Below are 19,496 nucleotides of genomic sequence, written 5' to 3'. Positions count from 1 at the left end.
TGGACAGCTAGCTGTTTCTGCCACAGGCCCTCACATTAGTCCATCAGACTACAGGGCAGAACTGAAAAGCTGTAGCCGGGCGCAGCGGCTCACCCCTGTAATCCCAGCACTTTGGGAAGCTGAGGCGGGTGGATCACCTGAGGTCAGGAGTTCGAGACCAGCCTCAACATGGAGAAACCCCATCTCTACTAAAAATACAAAATTAGCCAGGCGTAGTGGTACATGCCTATACTCCCAGCTACTCGGGAGGCTGAGGCAGGAGAATTGCTTGAACCTGGGAAGTGGAGATTGTGGTGAGCCAAGATCGCACCATTGCACTCCAGCCTGGGCAACAAGAGCAAAACTCTGTCTCAAAAAAAAAAAAAAGAAGAAGAAGAAGCTGTGGTCAGTGAAGTCTATGGAAATGGAGTGTCAAGGTGCAGTCTAGACAGAGTATATAGCCAATAAATGCTTGGTGAATGAATGAATGAATGAGAAGTGCTTTATGCCTCATTCCCAGCTAGCTGGCAGGGAAGGGAGCATTCTCATTTTTCCTGCCGTCAGACACATTGCTTCCTGTACCTGATGTCTGAGTCCATTCAGGCTTCTATTACAGAATACCATAAACTGGTGACTTATAAATGACAGAAATTTATTTCTCACAGCTCTGGAGGCTGGGAAGTCCAAGATCAAGGTGCCAGTAGATTCAGTGTCTGCTGAAAGCCCACTTCCTAGTTGATGGAGGCATCTTCTCACAGTGTCCTCACGTGGTAGAAGGGCCAAAAAGCTCCCTGAGACCATTTCACAAGGGCAGTAATCTCATTCCTGAGGGCTCCCCTCTTACGACCTAATCACATCCGAAAGGTCCCACCTCCTAACCATCACCTTGGGAGATTCAAGATTGAATTTTGGGGAGGACACAACATTCAGTCCGTAGCACCTGGAGAGGAAATGTGACCACAGGAATAGAAAGAGGGATGCCCAGAGAGAAGAGGTCTAAGTAACTGCAAATCTGGTCTGTACCTATGAATATTCTGTCCATTTAATTCAACTTCTTTGGGATTAGGGCTACACAGACCTTCTGCAGGATTTGGAAAACCCAACGCATGACTGAGTGGTTAGAAATGGTTTGAAATAGCCTGGAAAGACTCCAGGGAGGAGAGAACGGAGCGCGCGCGTGCACACACACACACACACACACACACACACACGCAGAGCCGGGGCTTATCTCTAATCTCCATGCGGATTTTAATCCAGCCTTGCATGTAATCGCCTCATAACTCCACATTTCCAATTTATTAATCAAATGCCATCTATGAGGCAATGTTGCGGGCCCCACCGGTGTTTCTGCATTTGATGGTTGCTGAATATCTATGCTTCAGCAACTTCCATCCACGCCAAACAAGAGAAAAACAACCGCCACCTTTTCTCCCCAGAGCAAATTCACACTCAGCAAGGATAATCACAAATCCTCCACAGGTGAACAAATCAGAATAAATGAGGAGTCAACACACCCACCAAGGCCTGTGAGTTACGGTATCAAGGCAGCTGTCAGGGAGGGTCGTGGGTTAGGGAGTGCCTCCCTCTTCTAATCACAGGCACCATTTGAAAAATGCAGGAGAGGGGCCAGCTGCGTCTGCCAGGGAGACTGCTATAAGTCGTCTGTGTGCTTGTTCCCTGGCATCCCAGGGTCAGGAGTCCTGAAGCTCATCTGGCAGCTGCTGCGACAAAATCTTTCTGATGGCTCAAGACATTGGCCTCTATGATCTCATTTACATTCATTGTGTGTGCATTAGAAGGGGAGATATTAATACAAAAGCATGGCTATAGAAAAGGGATGAATTGTTTTTATTCAAACACAGAATGGTCAGTAGCAGACCCAAGGTTGTACTACTTGGAGATAAAAGTCTTTAACTCTGGGCCCTAATGCTGTCCCTGCTCCCCACCTGCCTGCCAGACTTCCACCTCCTCCTCATCTGATCCAGCAATCCAGCACACACAGGCTTGGCTGGGATGTGTGCAGAGAGGAGAGCCAGGCTCAGCCAGCTCCTAGCTTGGTGCCCCTGTAGAATGGTGCTTTAGAAATACGTGCTGCACAGATGAGCATGTGACTTAGTCCATGCCCTCCTCTCCTCATTGCCTCCAGCAACTTTCCTAAAGGGAAGGTAAAGTCTTGTCATCCCCCTGCTCCCTTCCCTACAGTGTGGAAATGCCTGGGAATTTCTGCCCTTGGACCTCCAAGCCACGCCCCTTGGGAAAGTGCCAGGATAGTGGTGGGGTGCTCAGAGGTGGGGACTCCCAGTTACCTGCTTTGGGTGACTCTGGCCTTAGCTGGCCCTGAGGTGGAGGCCGCCTGGGAACTGTGGGTCAGAGGAAGTCAGCTTCAGCTCCCTCAAATGTGGGGATCTTCCATCCCCAAGTGACCCACTCAATCTTTGGGGCTGTCGTGCTGTGAACTGGTCAAGAGAAGTATATGATCCAACTCCTGACTCAAGAATCTTGCCTGCTTGATGGATGAAGAGGGAAGGCGGATGGAACCAGCTGAGTGGAACCAGCCACAGAGCAAGCACGAAGTGACAAATCACCCAGGGACGAAATCATGCAGGCAGGCAGGTGGGCAACCTGAGTCCATTTCATCAGCCATTGTTTAATTTATTCTTGGTTGTACTTTCTGCTTTATTTCCAACACAATCAAAACCAGATGTGTGCAAAAGTCACGCTATCACCCAGCACAGGATTACCTAAGATCTATTATAATGCAGCTTCATGCCCATTACAGTATTCCCATGCCCCTCACAGGGCAGTGTGCATCTGTTTTAGTGCTACCTAATGTCTGTTAGGTGCAAGCTGGCCCACACATGGCTTCTAGGCAGAACAGTCTACAAGTGACAGCGTGACCAGAGAGCAGAGACAGGAAGGAGGCCCAGACATGAGTGTGGGATGCTGCAGAACAGCAACAGGATGCTTCTGCTATCCCCAAATGTTATCTCAAATACCTCAACGTCAATGCTTTCTGTTCCATGTTCCTCTTCTCCCTGGACAGCCCCTCCTTCTGAAAGTCAGAACTGTCTGCTCTTGAGCTTGCCTTGAGGGAAGGAAATAATTTAGATAAGCAGAGAGGAAGACAGGCAAGGGATGTGGTGGGGCAAAGGCGGAGATGTATCTTCACAGGTCCCTGTCCTCAGCACCCAGAATCACCCCTTCCCTGTAGGAGGGAGCTGATAGAAAGAGGGGATCTCCATCCAGGAGCCACCCACCAGGCAGCTGGAAACATTTGCCAACAGCAGGTACACCTAGGGCTCAGCAGAGGGTTGGGTGAGAATGGTCTTGCCCAGTTTGTGCCACACTGAGCACCGGCTGGAGGAGGAAGCGGACAGAATGCCATCTGGACACAAGTGCTCCCTCACTGCCTGGGCCTGGGTCGCCTCAGGCTTTTGTGTCAGATCAGCCACTCCCTCTACAGATAATGCTGCTCCAGGCAAAGAGGCTTAGGTGGGTCTCCAGGGCAACCGCAGCTCAGGAGCTGGCCCGCCTCCATGGTTCATCAGGGAAGCTGTGGCTCCAGCCTCGCGGGATACATACACGCATACACACACACACACACACACACACACACACACACACACACACACCTACACACCCCACAAACAATAGTCCAGGCTGGATCTCTCCTCCTGTCTCTTCTCTTGGTAAAACTTCTCAGAGAACCAAAGAGAGGCAAAATTTGAGGCCAGCCGGCAGCAGCAGAGAAGCTGAGGGAGACTTGAGGATGTAGACTGCCCTGCCCTGCTGTGGCTGCTCAACTTTCTTTTTTTTTCCTGAAAATATCCAGACACTCTCTTCTCCCAGACTGGGAAGCAGAACGCAGGCCCCCTGCTGTGACGCTGCACCTGAGCAGAGGCTGACCTCAGAGGTAAGATGGAGGTCTCCCCAGGAGACAGTGTCTTCCCCACCCGCACCCTGGCACAGCTGCACCTTTGGAAGTTAGGGCTGAGGCTTGAAGCTGGGTGGGGTGGCCTCAAGGGGTGTGGCAGGCTGGGGAGCCTAGAAAGCCGCCCACCTCCGGGACCCAGATGGCCACAGGAAGGCCCCTTTAGTCCTCATCAGTTCCACAGGAGTTGGAACCGATGAGGGTCCTGCAGCTTCCTCGGGGCTATAGCCTGCTCCTTGTTTTGTAAACCTGTGGGAAGCCATTGTTTTTGCCTGTTCTGGAACTGCAAGCCTCTCGGGGAGGACCCAGCTCCAGCAGGTTCCTTTCTGCCTTTATAGAGTGGACACAGGCAGGGGGAAGGAAAGCGAAACCCAAATCAGAGACTCTTGCATGGGTTTGCGAACTGTGATTCGAGCATCTACTAAGTCCAAGGCACAGAGTCAGGCTCTGGGGATGCAGCAGCACCCAGGGCACGAGGGTGATGGATGTGCCTCAGTCCCCTCGAACATGGAGCAGTCTGTGCATCCCTGATAACATGCCCAGGAGAGTGGGCCCAGGCAGATGGGTGCAGGGTGGGGCGCCAGGGAGATCGGGCCTAGAAGGAAAGTCCAGCTGCGACCAAGGGATGAGGGTCAGTCCCCTCCCACTGTGGTCAGTCAGACCTGTGTACACGCCCTCTCCTGGCTGCACCTCTGCCTCAGAATGGGAAGGACTGGCTGCCATTCACTCATTCATTCAGGAACCGCTTATCAAGTGCTACCATGTGCAGCAGATTCAACCCACATTCCTCTCGCCCTTGCAGAATTCATAGCTAGGTGGGGAAGAGATAAATACAACCCAAAGCGTGAGAAACGTGTTTGCTAGATGCCATGGTGATGGGCCCTTGTGTCAGGCCCTGGTGGCTGGGATCAGTGCTCCATGGGTGGGGGGAAGTGAGGGGCCGGCTGCAGGGAGGAGTTGTCTCTTGAGGGGTTCCCGACAAATGAGCAGATGTCTGTCAGGTGGGCAGAGGATCCACAGGTCAGGCCCGCTCATATCTGGCTTGGTGGATTATAGGTTGTTTTTCTGTGATGCCAAAGAGAAATAAGGTCAATTTGCAATCTGTAAAGTTGGACTTGGGCCTTATCAAACACAGAGCTGGGAGGCAGATTAGCCAGAGAAGCACCTACTCTCTGCCCCCACTGAGAAGTCTCTGCCCAGACTGAGCGTCTGGCGTCAGCAGAGCCAGCCTGCCCCTGCAGTGAAGCTGCCAGTGCTCTGGGACAGCCTGACTCAGGTGCTGCTCTATGCCTGGGTCCGGCGGGTCACACAGGGCAGCCCCTCACCCTGGCCTGCAGATGCCTAGCTCAGCTTCAGAGGTGGAGGACCCGGGCCGGGTTCCCTGGCCATGGCTCCCTTTGCACTGAGAAATTGGCCTTCCTGGGCAAGGTCTGCACGCCCTCACTGTTTGGCTGGGGCCGGCGCAGGGCCTCAGTTCTCACTAGAGGTGAGGGCACTCTCATCCCTCCTGCAGGGGGTCAGAGCCCTGCTTCCAGCTCCAAGGTCACACTCCCCATTGTTCCCACCATTGAGACATCCCTGGTCCCCCTCTGAGTGCCAAGTGGAACCAGAGACTCCTCTTGCCCTTGAGGCACAACGCGAGAGTTTTTCCAGCACAGCTAACGAGCCACAGCTGGTAGTGGCGCCTCCCAGGAGCCACAGAAAAGACATTATCCTCAGGGATGTTCAAAAATAGGCTGAAAGGAAGGCTCTGAGAGTGTGGGGGTGGAAGGGGTAATGAAGGAGAAAGGAAAGAGGAAAGAGAAGATCAGAGAATGGAAGATAACGGGCGTGGGTGAGTGACACCAAAAGGCAGAGACAGAACGTGCGAGGGCTTCCCCATCATCCACTCTGCTCTGTAAACCTGAGGCCTCACCACCTGGGCCTTCTCTTGAAACAGGGAGGCTCAGCTCTCCCAACACGGTGACCAGAAGCCAGGGCTGGGGAAGGCCAGGAACAAAGTTGGGGTCAAGCTTGCACCAAGCCAGGGGATCCTTTATTTTTGTGCCCCCTTTGGGAGTCTGTGAAGCCTGTGGACACGTTCCTAGAAAAATGCTTCTAAATGCATAAAAGTAAATTCACTGGGGTACAAAGGAAACAAGCTCTATTGAAATGCAGCTATCAAAAAAAAAAAAAAGAAAGAAAAAATGATTTATGATATAATAATATGTGTGCTTCCCTATCAACATGTGAAATAATAAAACCTAGTAGCAAGTCTAATAAATGCCACAATTTCATAGTAGTGATGAGCATACCAGATAATTCAAGAATAACAACTTTAAAGCATTTTGTGAAAAATCTGTGGTTTCTGCTGGAGATAAAGCCATGGGGCTACTGATATTACTGTGGTCTATGACCCTCATTCATAACTAAAGAAATACCACATTTCAGTTAAAGGTTAGTGGAAATAAAGATGACTTTTTTCCCCACCCAAGTTCATAAATCCCTGAATTTTCCCTAGGACCCAAGGGTAAGAATCTGTACTAAGCGACAATGGTAGCCACTGATCTAGGTGAATCAGCTTATTGTTAGTTTATAAAAATAAAACATTTACAAAGACATAATCTCATTTGATTTTCACAGTAACTTGAAATAGGTACCTTTATTATTCCCTTATAGATTGGGGAAACTGAGGCTTGGGGCCATGAAGGTGACTTGGACAAAGGCAGCATACACGGGAGGGGAAGGGCGTAGGAACTGAATTCAGGTTTTATCTGCTGAAGGCTGCACTGTCTCCCCAAGCCCAGCCTGCTCCACCTGAGCTGGTGATCAAGTAGAGGCGGAGTGGGGGTGCAGCCAGGCCACCCAGCATGCATCTGAGGTCAAAAGCAGTGGAGGTGGTGAGTGGGGGTGAGAGTGGGGATGGTACTGGACCCCAGGCCCCAGACTCCACGGAGGGAATATGGGGAGAGGGAACGGAAGGCATGTATGTGTCAATGGACAGCAGCAACTCTGTCCCCACCCCGGCTCCCAGACAAAAGAGGGAAACGCAGCCCAAAGATTCTTACTAAGGACCCCAAGATGGATAGGGGTCTTAACAAGCAGGGCCCAGCCCATGTTCCTAGCTGGCTTTCATTTCTTTTCTTCTTGTTTTGTGTCATCATTGCATTTGGTCATCTGTCTCCTCTCTATAGAGCCTTCAAGACCTCTTTCCAGGTGGGTTTTTTTTTTTTTTTTTGACAGAGTCTTGTTCTGTCGCCTAGGCTGGAGTGCAGTGGCACCATCTTGGCTCACTGCAGCCTCCACCTCCCGGGTTCAAGCAATTCTCATGCCTCAGCCTCCTGAGTAGCTGGGATTACAGGCATCTGCAACCACACCTGGCTAATTTTTGTATTTTTAGTAGAGATGGGGTTTCACCATATTGGCCAGGCTGGTCTCAAATTCCTGGCCTCAAGTGATCTGCCTGCCTTGGCCTCCCAAAGTGCTGGGATTATAGTCGTGAGCCACCGCTCCCGGCCTCCAGGTGAACTTTTTAGCCACCTGATTGTGTCTCATAAGAATTACAACCCCTGATCACTGCACAGGATTTGTATAGTTTACTGAATGTTTTCACATATTGTCTCCTGCCCGAGTCTCAGAGAAGCCCTGTGGAGTGGGCTGAGCTGGTGTCTGAACACCATTTTATAAATGCAGAAACCAAGGCCTCGCTGGTTAATGAGCAGTAGCGGTTATGCAGAGAACAGGGGCAGGCACTTCCTGGGCACACCCTGCACTGCTTACACAGCCGAGGCCCAGGAGTCCCTTTCCACTCAGGAGAGCTGTGCCTTTGGTGGCATCGCAATTGCTTGTCTGCTTGTTTTCCCCCCTCTCTTGAGTGTACACTCCTTGAGGGAGTCCCAGCACCTAGCACAGCGACAGGCAGGTCACACACTCCTCCTGTGTCTGCTGAGCGAGTGAGTGGATGAGAACTCAGCCCTGCGCCTCAGTCTCCAGGCCCTAGGCCCTCCCCGCACACGCCACTGTGCAAGGCCTCGATGCCCAGGCTCGTGGGTGAAGAAAGACACAGCAGCAGAAATGAGCAGAATAGGGACTGCAGGCAGGGGTCCCGAGGAACAACGCAGGCCATCAGGTAGAGTGAATCAGGAAGGCTTCCTGCACAAGTGAGTTTTGAGGTAGAGCTTTCCCAACTTTTAAACTTGAATATGCATAAACATGCAGAAAAGTGTGATAAATATCTATCAATATCCCCCAGATACAACAATTGCTAATATTTTGCCATATTTGCTCTTGTAGGGGCCAAGGGCTTGGCCCTATGAAGGTTCACTTAAAAATCAACTCAAGAAAGGCTGATTAATTAGAGAAAAGGCGTACACATTTATCACAAACGCGTACATGGGGAGAATCACAGAGGAACTGCTCACCCCACACTGTGGTTCGGAAGCTTATATATCATCCTGGCAAAGCAGGTTATGGGAGGGGGAGAACAGCAGTTCTGGTGAGAGGATTACTAGGGAGAATGAACGGGGCAGGGATCAGAAATGAACTTGTACATTATCCTGGGAGAGGGTCTGTTCAGGTGGGGGCTCATTCTCGGTCTTAAGAAAGGGGAAGAAAAAAACCATTGTTCCCTTTGGTGGATCTGGATCTTAGGCAGACAAAGGCTTTGGAAGAGACGGTGGCCGTGGGGAGGGCCAGAGAGACCACGAGGCTTCTTCAGCTCAGCATGTCCAAATGCCATATCTTAGGATATTGGTTTCTGAGCCCCAACATCCTGTTTATGGGGTGTGTGTATACATATTTATGTAATGTTTTCTGAACTATTTGAATGTAAGATATTGTAGACACCCATAAACACTTCAGCACCTCCTAAGATTGAGCTATTGGCCAATATTCCACAGATAGTTTTCTTTTTTTCTTTTCTTTTTTGGAGACAGAGTTTCGCTCTTGTCACCCAGGCTGGAGTGCAATGGTGCAATCTCGGCTCACTGCAACCTCTGCCTCCCGGGTTCAAGCCATTCTCCTGCCTTAGCCTCCCAAGTAGCCGGGATTACAGGCATGCATGCCTGGCTAATTTTTGTATTATTAGTAGAGACGGGATTTCACCATGTTGGCCAGGCTGGTCTCGAACTCCTGACCTCAGGTGATCCACTTGCACCGGCCTCCCAAAGTGCTGAGATGACAGATGTGAGCCACCGTGCCCAGCCCCATGGATTATTTTCTAACATCCAGCTCATATTCAGATTTCCTCAGTTATCCTAATTTTTTTTTGTTTGAGTCGGAGTCTCTCTTTGTTGCCCAGGCTGGAGTGCAATGGCACGATCTCAGCTCACTGCAACCTCTGCCTCCCAGGTTCAATCGATTCTTCCACCTCCCGACTAGCTGGAATTACAGGTGCCCGCCACCATGCCCAGCTAATGTTTGTATTTTTAGTAGAGACGGGGTTTCACTGTGTTGCCCAGGCTGGTCTCGAACTCGTGACCTCAGGTGATCCACCCACCTTGGCCTCCCAAAGTGCTGGGATTATAGGTGTGAGCCACCACACCCAGCCTTTTTTTCTTTTAAATATAAAGAAGGGGATCTTTCCTAACTTGATAAAGGGTATCTCCTTTTTTTTTTTTTTGAGATGGGGTCTCACTCTGTCACCCAGGCTGGAGTGCAGTGGCGCGATCTCAACTCACTGCAACCGCTACCTCCCAGGCTCAAGTTAGCTCAAGTTATCCTCCCACCTCAGCCTCCTGAGTAGTTGGAACTACAGGCGCATGCCACAACGCCCAGCTAATTTTTTATATTTTTGGTAGAGACGGAGTTTCACCATGTTGCCCAGGCTGGTCTCGAACTCCTGAACTCAAGCCTCCCAAAGTGCTGGGATTACAGGCATGAGCCATCGTGCCTGGCCTATCCTAATTTTTTAAAACAAGGATTCAATCAGTGTTCATGTGTTTGAGGCAGGTTGTAAGTGCCTTTGACTGAGTGGGAACCATTCATCATGGGAAGACTCTGAGGTCACCATGGCGCTGCCACTCGCCAGGTGGTGAGCCAAGTGCGGGGGCCTTGGGGCTTACACTGAGGAGTTGGCTCTGCCACGGTGGTGAATCTGGAGCCAGGCAGTGTAGAAAATTGTGCCAGACACTCACCAAAGGTCACTCTTTCTGTTGTTTAACAGACCTCCCCCAGGCACCACGTCCTTCCCAGTCTCAGCCGAGGTTCAGGTTCTGGGGATACCCTGGGATAAGGCAGCCCCCTCTGGAGTCTGTCTAGCCTGCCCTCCTGCCTCTCTGTCTCTGTTCTTCCTCCCTCTGTCTCTCCCTCCCTCCTTTGCCCTTAAGAACTTAATCGGACCCACTGAAGAGCCTTCTGGGGGAGCAGCTGGCACTGGGGACAGAAATAGCACCAGCAGAAATCTTGTTTCTGCCAAAGCCTCCAGTCCTGGCCAGAGTTGCGGGAAGTGAGGGGATGGGGAGGAGATGACTCAGAACACCCTCCTCCCCTGTTGAGACCCTACACCTGGGCCAAAGAGGCTTAGAGCCCACAAAATTCAGGACTCAGGTGGGATCACTCCACTCAGCCCCTGCCATCTGGAGATGGGGGAGGTGGGTCACAAAGCACCTTCTCTAGCGGCCAGCTCAGGTCGGGAGCCTTAAGCCCAGGGAAGCAGGACCCCATACAGGCTGCACCCCAGACTGTACTCGGGCTTGCTTCTGGCCTTACTCTGCCTTGAGGTGAAGTGTCTGGGGGTCCAGGAGACATGCCACCCTGTGGGCACTTCCCTTCGAGGTCAGGCTTAGGGACTGAAATCAGAATTCCCTGCCAGACAGTCGCCCGCCCACTTCCCCACAGAAGGGGCCACTGAGCAGGGCAGACAGCACTGCCAGCGAGCAACCCTAAGTCAGAGGGTGGCACAGAGGTGGCTGGTTGCAGGGGTGTGGCTGGGCCTTGGAGGTGAAAGCTGGGGTGTCCCCACACGTGTTTGCAAGGCCCCTTACCATGTGGGATGAAGCGGAGGTGGGAAGAGAGGGAGGCAGGCTGAGGGCCGAGAGCAGTCCCAACCCACCTCCATGTGTCAGAGAAGAACTCTGAGGAGTCCAAGAATGCTGTCTGAATCTCACCCTCCATGTTGTTAGGAAGGTATAGTTCACAAGGGAGGAAACGGAACATACTTTATTTAATAGTTTGTTAGCTTATGTGGCTGTGGCATGGATATTCTGCAGTCAATTTGCCCTGGAGGCAAAAGTTTTCTTCAGTGTCTTCCATTTCTTCTCTCACATTTCTCCCGGCCACAGGAGAACCCTCTGCTGCCAAGCCACTCTCTTGCTCTCTTCTTTCAGCTCAAATTCAAACCCAGATTAAGAAGAAAAAAAAGCTCCCTAAGGAGCTTTGGAAAATGCCTTCTTGTTCAGGATCAGGTCAGGTCAGGTCTGTGGGGCTTGTTCCTTGATCCAACTGTTATAGCTTCTCCATCATTTATTCGTTCCTTTGTTCGGGCATTCATTCATTCATTTGTTTGCTATTTATTAAGTGCCTACTGACTACATGTCCAGCCCCAGGGATGGAAAGGTGAATAAGGCACAGGCCCTGACCACATACCACACCCGGGGTCAGGGGAGGTAGGCAGTCACGTTCCGTAAAGTGCTCCTGAGCTCTGAAAAGCACCTGTGCAGAGTGCAGTCAGGGGACAAGGTAGAGAGTGGCCACATCTACCTCGGAGATGGGAAGGTCAAGAAAAGCTTCCGAGGGTGCTGACCCTAGACCTGGTCTCCATGTAGAATGGGCGGGCATTTCAGGCAGAGGGAGGAACATGACAAAGGCATGGAGCTGTGCAGTAGCCCAGCACATTCAGTAGCCCTTGCAGGAACAGTGACTCCGCATGCTCGCAGTGCTCTTCAGTGGCTACACCATTCACTCTTTTGGTGCTAAGCATCAATCTAACCCATAGACTTTTAAAAATACAAACACTCCAGGGAAAGTGACACATTCAGTTACAGTTACAGTCCTTGTGCCTGAACTGATGGAATCCTTTAGCCTTAGGCGAGGCTCCTGATGCTCATGGCTCTCTGGCCATGACACCCCCACCCCTGCACTCCCACCCCCCAGTACACACAGTACTACCCAACCTCTTTATTCTGGGCACATAAAGCAGGTAAGGGCTAAGAAGTAAACGTCCTAGCTGCTACTGACCCCAGGAGTAGGGTCTAATGGTTCGTCCTTTCGTCCCACTCTCCCAGGAAGCGGTCAGCTGTGTAATCTGAAGCCTCCATTGGTGATAGGCTTAGGTTGCGTGGAGAATGAAAGTTCTCAGATTTCTTTTTTTTTTTTTTTGAGTTGGAGTCTCGCTCTGTCACCCAGGCTGGAATGCAGTGGCACCATCTCAGCTCACTCCGCCTCCCCAGTTCAAGCAATTCTCCTGCCTCAGCCTCCTGAGTAGCTGGGACTACAGGCATGTGCCACCATGCCCAGCTAATTTTTGTATTCTTAGTAGAGATGGGGTTTCACCATGTTGGCCAGGATGGTCTCAAACTCCTGGCTTCAAGTGAGCTGCCCTCCTCGGCCTCCCAAAGTGCTGGAATCACAGGCATGAGCCATCATGCCTGGCCTGTTTTCAGATTTCTTAATTCTGTTGGTTGCTAAAGGAGTTGGTCATTCAAGTCTCCATCGGTAAGTAGAGATTTAGCTGTGGCCTTCCAGAAGGCTGCTGCTACCCCATCATAATATTCTCCTTTGTGTCTGATTATTTACCTTAACAATTCATTTCTCTGCATTAAGCACTGGGGTGCAGGGTGATGGGAGGGTGGCCTAAAAATGCATGTGTCCTCTGGAGGTGACACCTCCTTCATCACCATGCTGTTGAGACTGAGTTCATCTGACCTCTTTTCTCTGCGTATGGAGGGTCTAAGCAGAAATGGGATCATTGGTGCATGGAAGGGGGAACGGCTTGGAGGGAGAAAGGTGCAGAAAGATGAAGTGAGACCCCTCGAAGACCCACTTCAGGCTTTAGCTCGGGAATGTCATTTCCCTTCACTGTTGTCAGAAGCACAGACCACATCTGACAGGTCATGGAGTAGCTCATTCACCCATTCATTCATTCGTTCATTCATCTACTCGGTCTGTCCTTCACTAAATTTGTATTTAGCAGGCCTGTGTGGGGGCTCCATGATGAGTTAGGCTCGCTGCTGTCAGACCTCCACCTGTCTCACCTTGTTCTATGGCTGGATCCTCCCTCCACCTGGGACCCCTTCTCCATCAGCCCATGTGTCTGAAGCCCGCACTCACCTCTCAGCCCACTCTGGCACTTTTCACCATCTAGGGTCACACCTTCCCCTCCCACATCAGTGCTGACTCTATGCTTCACCAGCAGAGTTCCCTCTCTCCATTGATGTTGCAGCGTTTACTCAACAAATCTTGCCTCTCCTGGAGAGCAGGATCCTGGCATCATCCTTTCGTGTTTATGTCCCTCCACAGATGTGTACACAGTGCTTGATTAATGCTGAATGAATGAATGGTGGGTAAGTTGGTTTTTTTCAGGTTAATGTTAATCCATACAGTTTTTTTTTTAAACGGAGTTTTGCTCTTTTTGCCCAGGCTGGAGTGCAATGGTGTGATCTTGGCTCACCCCAACCTCCACCTCCCGGGTTCAGGCAATTCTCCTGCCTCAGCCTCCCGAGTAGCTGGGATTACAGGCATGCACCACCACATCTGGCTAATTTTGTATTTTTAGTAGAGACAGGGTTTCTCCATGTTGGTCAGGCTTGTCTTGATCTCCCAACCTCAGGTGATCTGCCCATCTTGGCCTCCCAAAGTATTGGGATTGCAGGTGTGAACCACCATGGCTGGCCAACCCCATAGAGTTCTAAGTGTCTTTCGTCAATAGGCTGGAGGCATTTAGAAGCTGAGGGTGTTTTCCTGGTAGACTGACATAGGATGTATCTGTTCTGAGTGTGTGTGTGTGTGTTCCCCTTAAGTCATAGGGAAAGCTTGTGCTCAGCCATAGTCCATGTGTTTCCAGCTTTGTTGGGAGTTAGTGAGGATTCAGGAGGCCCTTTCTCTGGGCACAATCCTGGGGATGCTTTAAGGATCATAATCACAAGAGTCTCTTACTTTTATGTGATGTTTACAGTGTACAAAGTTTATTCACAACTGCTTCTCACAACAGCCCTATCTTGTCTTACAGAATTAGAAATGATTGCTCAGGGAAATTAAGCCACCTACTTGAGGCCACTCAACTGTTAGGGCAGAGCAGGTCTTCTCTCCTGGGTCCCAGCTCTCCTCTCTCCCCCTTGGGTTCCCAGGTTCCCCACTCTGACTAACAGAGGGGCCCAGGAAAGATGCACATCTGTCCTGTCTCAGCAGGGCCAGGGGCTATGTCTCTCATCTCATGGCTTCGGTGGAACGAGGCCCCATCCCGGCTGTCCACCAGGAGCCCTGCTGAGATGGTGCTGGAGACGCTTATGATGGAGCTGACGGGGCAGATGCGAGAGGCTGAGAGGCAGCAGCGGGAGCGCAGCAATGCGGTCAGAAAGGTCTGCACCGGTGTGGACTACAGCTGGCTGGCCAGCACACCCCGGTCCACCTATGACCTCAGCCCCATTGAGCGGTTGCAGCTGGAAGATGTCTGCGTTAAGATCCACCCATCCTATTGTGGGCCTGCTATCCTCAGGTGAGCACTGGGATGGGGACCCTTGCTGGGCTGCAGGCTCCAGGAAAGGTGGCTGCAGTGGCAGGGGCCTGAGGCCACCAGGACTAGAGTCAGGGAGCCTGGATGACCTAGTTATCTGTTAGAAGGAGCAAGAGGGGAAAAGGAGTCTGAAAGAGACCATGAAACGCTGGACTAGGGTTAGGGGTCCAGCGGGAGGCAGGAGGCAGCTCCTGGAGGCGCGTGAGTTTTGATTCAAGAGAACACAATACTTTTGAGTTTTCTCTTCTTCCTGCCCAGATTGTTATTGTCCTGGATTTTAACTTACCTGGCTTCTTTTCTCTTGTCAGTTTATCTTCAATATTACCTTCTCGGAGAAGTTTTCCAGACATTTCTCCAAAGTCAGATTCTTAATTATCTTAGCTTATGTTAGCTTTCATGCTAGTCTGACCACAGGTGAGTGTGTGTGTGTGTGTGTGTGTGTGTGTGTGTAGGAAGGGTTCAAACAAAACCCTGGGGCACTGCACATTTAGAGCTTGGGTACAACAATGTTCCTTGAATATAAATGTAACCTTACTGACTTACTGAAGCTGTGACCACATGGTCCTGTCTCAGAAGGATTGGTGCTGATGTCAAGGAAGCATCGAGTAATTTCAAAATAACTCAAGTTCTTTGTCTACATTTCTCTTTGTAAAGGAATATAAATCCACAATAAAACATCTTAAAACTCCTGTTAGTCTCCCAAAATCTTCCCTCACCCATCCCTTTAACCAACATATGCATTTATTATACACCTTTTTCTTTGAAATTCCCTTCAAAAGCTCCTCTCCTTCAGCCCCTTTCACCTTCTTCAGCCCCGTCCACACTCCTTGGTTTTTGCAGAGCTTTTACCATCCCTCCCCTTTCTTCCTCCAGATGGAGAACCTTACTCTCCCCCAGCTCTGATTCTGTACTGTGGAAGCCTCCAAAGTGTATCTATTCCAGAAGCACCTGGGGACGGGGGTGGGTCATGGGGTGGAGCTGCTGAAAAGGGAATCTGGGCTGGCAAATCAAGCCTCAAAAGTGAGGGGGAAGGCTGGGTACACACAGGTCATGATTGTCCTGTCTCATTTCCGGTCTCATGTCACTGCTGGGAAGTCCTGACTCTCAATCTGGTGGAGGAAACCTGGTATTAAATAGACTTGCTAACATTAACTTGTGAGCTCTAAGCAAAGATAGCCTAGGCAGAGTAAACAGCTTGGGAAAACACAGGGCCTTGGGAGAAGCTGGGACATGTCGGGGCCACAAGTGATTCTTCCCAGCTGATGTGCAGGGTCTTCCAGGGAAGTATCAGGGGACCCCTGTGCATGGCAAACAGCTCACCTGGAAGGAATATCACAGGGGCAGTGACATAATCAGATATAGGTTTCAGAAAGATCATGCTGGCCAGTGGGTGGAGAAGAGACAGGAGAGGCTTAGCCAGAAGGCTGCCACGGCAAAGGGCTCCCCTTAATGCTTCGTCATCAACAACCTTAGGTAAGTGTCAGGATCTTTACATATCTTAGTTCATTATAGCTCACACAAAGGCAGCTGTCATCTCAGATTACAGACGAGGAGGCTGAGGCCAACTGAGGCCAGAAGTGGCAGAGCTGGGATTTGAACGCAGGATTGGTTGAAGCAGTAGCAGCGTGGGGTGGTTCCTGATTCGCTTCAGGAGCAGAGTAGAGTGGACTAATTGGCCATGAGGATGCACGGGCAGCCCCTCGGGGTTAGACGCCCGGGGTGCCAGACCCGCTGTTGTGGGTGAATGTCCCCAGCGCCCTCCCCTCCCGCCCAGGTTCCGGCAGCTGCTGGCGGAGCAGGAGCCCGAGGTGCAGGAGGTGTCCCAGCTCTTCCGCTCGGTGCTGCAGGAGGTCCTGGAGAGGATGAAGCAGGAAGAGGAGGCCCACAAGCTGACGCGCCAGTGGAGCCTGCGGCCCCGCGGCAGCCTGGCCACCTTCAAGACCCGCGCGCGCATCTCGCCCTTCGCCAGCGACATCAGGACCATCTCCGAGGACGTGGAGCGGGACACACCGCCGCCACTGCGGTCCTGGAGCATGCCCGAATTCCGGGCGCCCAAAGCCGACTGACCCCGGCCGCTTCCCTGCCCAGAAGCGGAGCCTTCTGCAGGGGGAATGATAGGCCGGTGACCGGAGCGCCGGGCCCTGGAACCTCCCCACCTAGGCCTGACGAGGAGACCCAAGAGGCGGCCCCATCCCAAGACGCTGCTATAAAATGAAGCGACTCCCTGCCCCATCCTCTTCCTCTGGCCACAAAGCTGAGTTAGGTCGTAGAGCGGCACCGCCCTCTCCCTCTCCTGCGCTAGTCTGCAGGAGCAGCCCCTTCCCTAACTGGCAGATTCAAGGTTTTGGAAGACAGACCATTGCCCCATCCTCATCTCCTGGTTCTGTCTAAAAGGGGACAGTTGCCCTGCCTTTTGGCAAGACCTAGGTTCTCACCCCAATTTCAGGGATGTCCCATTCACCCCCCTACCCCCATCCCCAATGAGAAGGGACCTGTTGGCTGGTATGCCTTCTTGCTAGTGACTGGCTGAGCTCACCACTGCAGGTGGGTCACACACAGCCTCATAGGCAGGCACAGCTGGAAGGGACCAGAGAGACATTTAGATCCACTCTCTTCAGCTAGTAAATGTGGAACTTGAGGCTCAGAGAGGGACACTTCTTCTGCCTTTAACTGCAGCCAGCTCCTCATGAACAGTGAGATTGTTCCTGCATGAATAGTGTCTGTTCCTGAGTTTGGAATCCTGGGCTATGAAGGGACAGGTCCAAAGGCTACATCTCTACCTACCTGTGGCCTGATCCATCTCTTACCTTGGCAGTGGGATGAGAATCTAAGCTGCTCTCCAAGAAGTGTAGCTAGGGGTGGAGGTAGGTTACTCATTACCCCACGCCACAATGTCATCGCATGGGCTGTGGCCAGTCCCTAACAGCTTCTTCCAGAGGCTCAGCTCCAAGGACTTCAGATGCTGCCCTAAAGAGCCCAGGTTTCTCAATTCCAGGGTTCCGCTTTCTGCAGCTGGTCACACCTGCTCTCTGGCTTTCTCCAGAAAGTGATGCCCAAACCCCTGACTGACCTTGAGGCAGCTGAGTGAAATGTTCTAGAAGAGCTTCCTGCAGCTTCATTGTCCTTCCCTTTTCTAACATGGTTAGGCCTTGATGATGGGCATGTGGATTACCCAATGTGTGGATCACCCATGGAAAATCTGGAAGGCCAGGAGGCCTTCCCACACACTCTGGGGTTGAAGTGGGGTGTAAGGGGGATGGGTGGGGAAGTGTCTACCCTCAACTACCAGCACACATGCAGAAAATGCAAGTGGACCTTAATAGTAGCCTAAATAAAATACCCGGAGGAGATATAATCAACAGGGGGGAAAAGTGTGTATTCCCTCAGTGGAAAAAAGTTTTTTTGAATGATTTGGTTTTGAACTTCCCTTTTGAAGTTTTTTTGGATTTTCACTTGAATCTGGACAGAGAATCATAGGATGGTGGAAAACCTCTGATCCAACACTATCAAGATGAAAGAGTTGATTGGCTTATTAATGTAATTGGTAGAAGTTGAGAATCACTTAAAATATACATCTTAAACATCTTACGTATTTTATTTGAAGACATAAAAAGTTCACTTGGTTGCCAAACTTTTTTTTTTTTTTTTGAGACTGAGTCTCACTCTGTTACCCAGGCTGCAGTGCAGTGGCGTGATCTCGGCTCACCACAACCTTTGCCTCCCGGGTTCAAGTGATTCTTCTGCCTCAGCCTCCTAAGTAGCTGGGACTACAGGCACGTGCCATCACCCCAGCTAATTTTTGTATTTTTATTAGAGATGGGGTTTCACTATGTTGCCCAGAATGGTCTTGAACTCCTGACCTCGTGATCCACTCGCCTTGGCCTCCCAAAGTGCTGGGATTACAGACATGAGCCACTGTGCCTGGCTGCCAAACTTTTGATGTGGGTCCAAGCTGTGCTTTTTTGTGACCTATATGTTTTGTCTGGTGGGAGTTCTACACTTAAGTTTTCTTGGTTTGCACTTTAATCATAACAATAAGAACAACTGGCGTAAAAGAGTTTTGGAACAAGCAGAAGTGACCCTTGGTAAGCAGACTGCTCAGCTGGTAGGGGCAAAAGTGTTGGGGGAGGATTAGAAAAAGGCCTCCACATTGTGGGCTTTCCGGGTGCCCTGGATGTGGGTCAGCAAATGTTTTAGAGGAAGTAGTTAACCTGGAGGGAGATTCAAAGGAGGCTGGATAAGAGAATGTCTATTTTTCTCCTTCCCTATCACCTTACATGTACCTATTCTCCCCAAAGAGAAGGAAGACCTTAGGCTTTCAATGTGGTGTTCTTTCTTAAGTTTAAGTAACTGGCTGCCAATGAAAACCTTCCCTTCGAGCCGCAGGCATGTGGACAGAATCCACCACCCTCCTTAGACACTCCTCAGACTACTACAGGCTATCCCCAGCTGGTGGCTCTCAAATTCATGAGGGTCCAGAAGTTGTTCCTCTGGATTCAGGTTGTTAAAGGGACTAATGAGGTCTGCTTCCATTACTATTATTGAAACCTCAATAACCACAAATAAAAGAACAAAAAGTTTGAGAGTGTCCTTGTAAGTATCTGATGAGTGGCTGGTGTTATTTTGGAGGGGATGGGTTGAGTGTGTTCAAGACTACCACAGCCAGCCTGTTTGCACCCAGCTCAATACCACTAGCCACTAGAGGGCGTGGGTGGGAGGCTTGTACTACTTGGTGACTACATTTTTTTTTTTAACTTATGAAAATCTTCAAACACAAAAATGTAGAGGGAGAAGTTTAAGAAGCCCCATATACCTACCATGAAAGTTTAATAGTTACTAACATTTGGCCATATTGTCTTTATTTTTGTGTGTGGAGTATTTTAAGATAAATCCCAAGGTGTTGTGACAATTCACCCCTGAATACTTCAGTATGCACTA

The 19,496-nt window shown here is 50.7% G+C and overlaps 1 protein-coding gene across 2 annotated transcripts; it reads left to right on the top strand.

Annotated features, from left to right (window-relative positions):
- RD3 (RD3 regulator of GUCY2D) lies at positions 3,498–19,138 on the top strand. 2 transcript variants are annotated; one of them, NM_001164688.2, is made up of 3 exons: positions 3,498–3,892; positions 14,234–14,540; positions 16,333–19,138. In NM_001164688.2, exons 2-3 carry the CDS (start codon positions 14,245–14,247, stop codon positions 16,622–16,624), a joined length of 588 nt encoding a protein of 195 aa, NP_001158160.1. In that variant the 5' UTR covers positions 3,498–3,892; positions 14,234–14,244; the 3' UTR covers positions 16,625–19,138. The 2 variants fall into 2 exon arrangements, with proteins under 2 accessions (NP_001158160.1, NP_898882.1); NM_183059.3 differs by having other exon boundaries at positions 14,231–14,540.

This window comes from Homo sapiens, chromosome 1 (assembly GCF_000001405.40).
Source record: "Homo sapiens chromosome 1, GRCh38.p14 Primary Assembly".
Lineage (NCBI taxonomy): Eukaryota > Metazoa > Chordata > Mammalia > Primates > Hominidae > Homo > Homo sapiens.
The sequence above is the reverse complement of the archived record's forward strand: the minus strand, read 5'-3'. Positions and strand labels throughout refer to the sequence as shown.

What these genes read in the sequence shown, in the direction of transcription:
- RD3 (NM_001164688.2), top strand. Translation starts at nt 14,245, where the DNA reads ATGTCTCTCATCTCATGGCTTCGGTGGAACGAGGCCCCATCCCGGCTG. An exon ending in TGTGGGCCTGCTATCCTCAG is followed by an intron (nt 14,541 to 16,332) that starts GTGAGCACTGGG and finishes CCTCCCGCCCAG; the next exon opens with GTTCCGGCAGCTGCTGGCGG.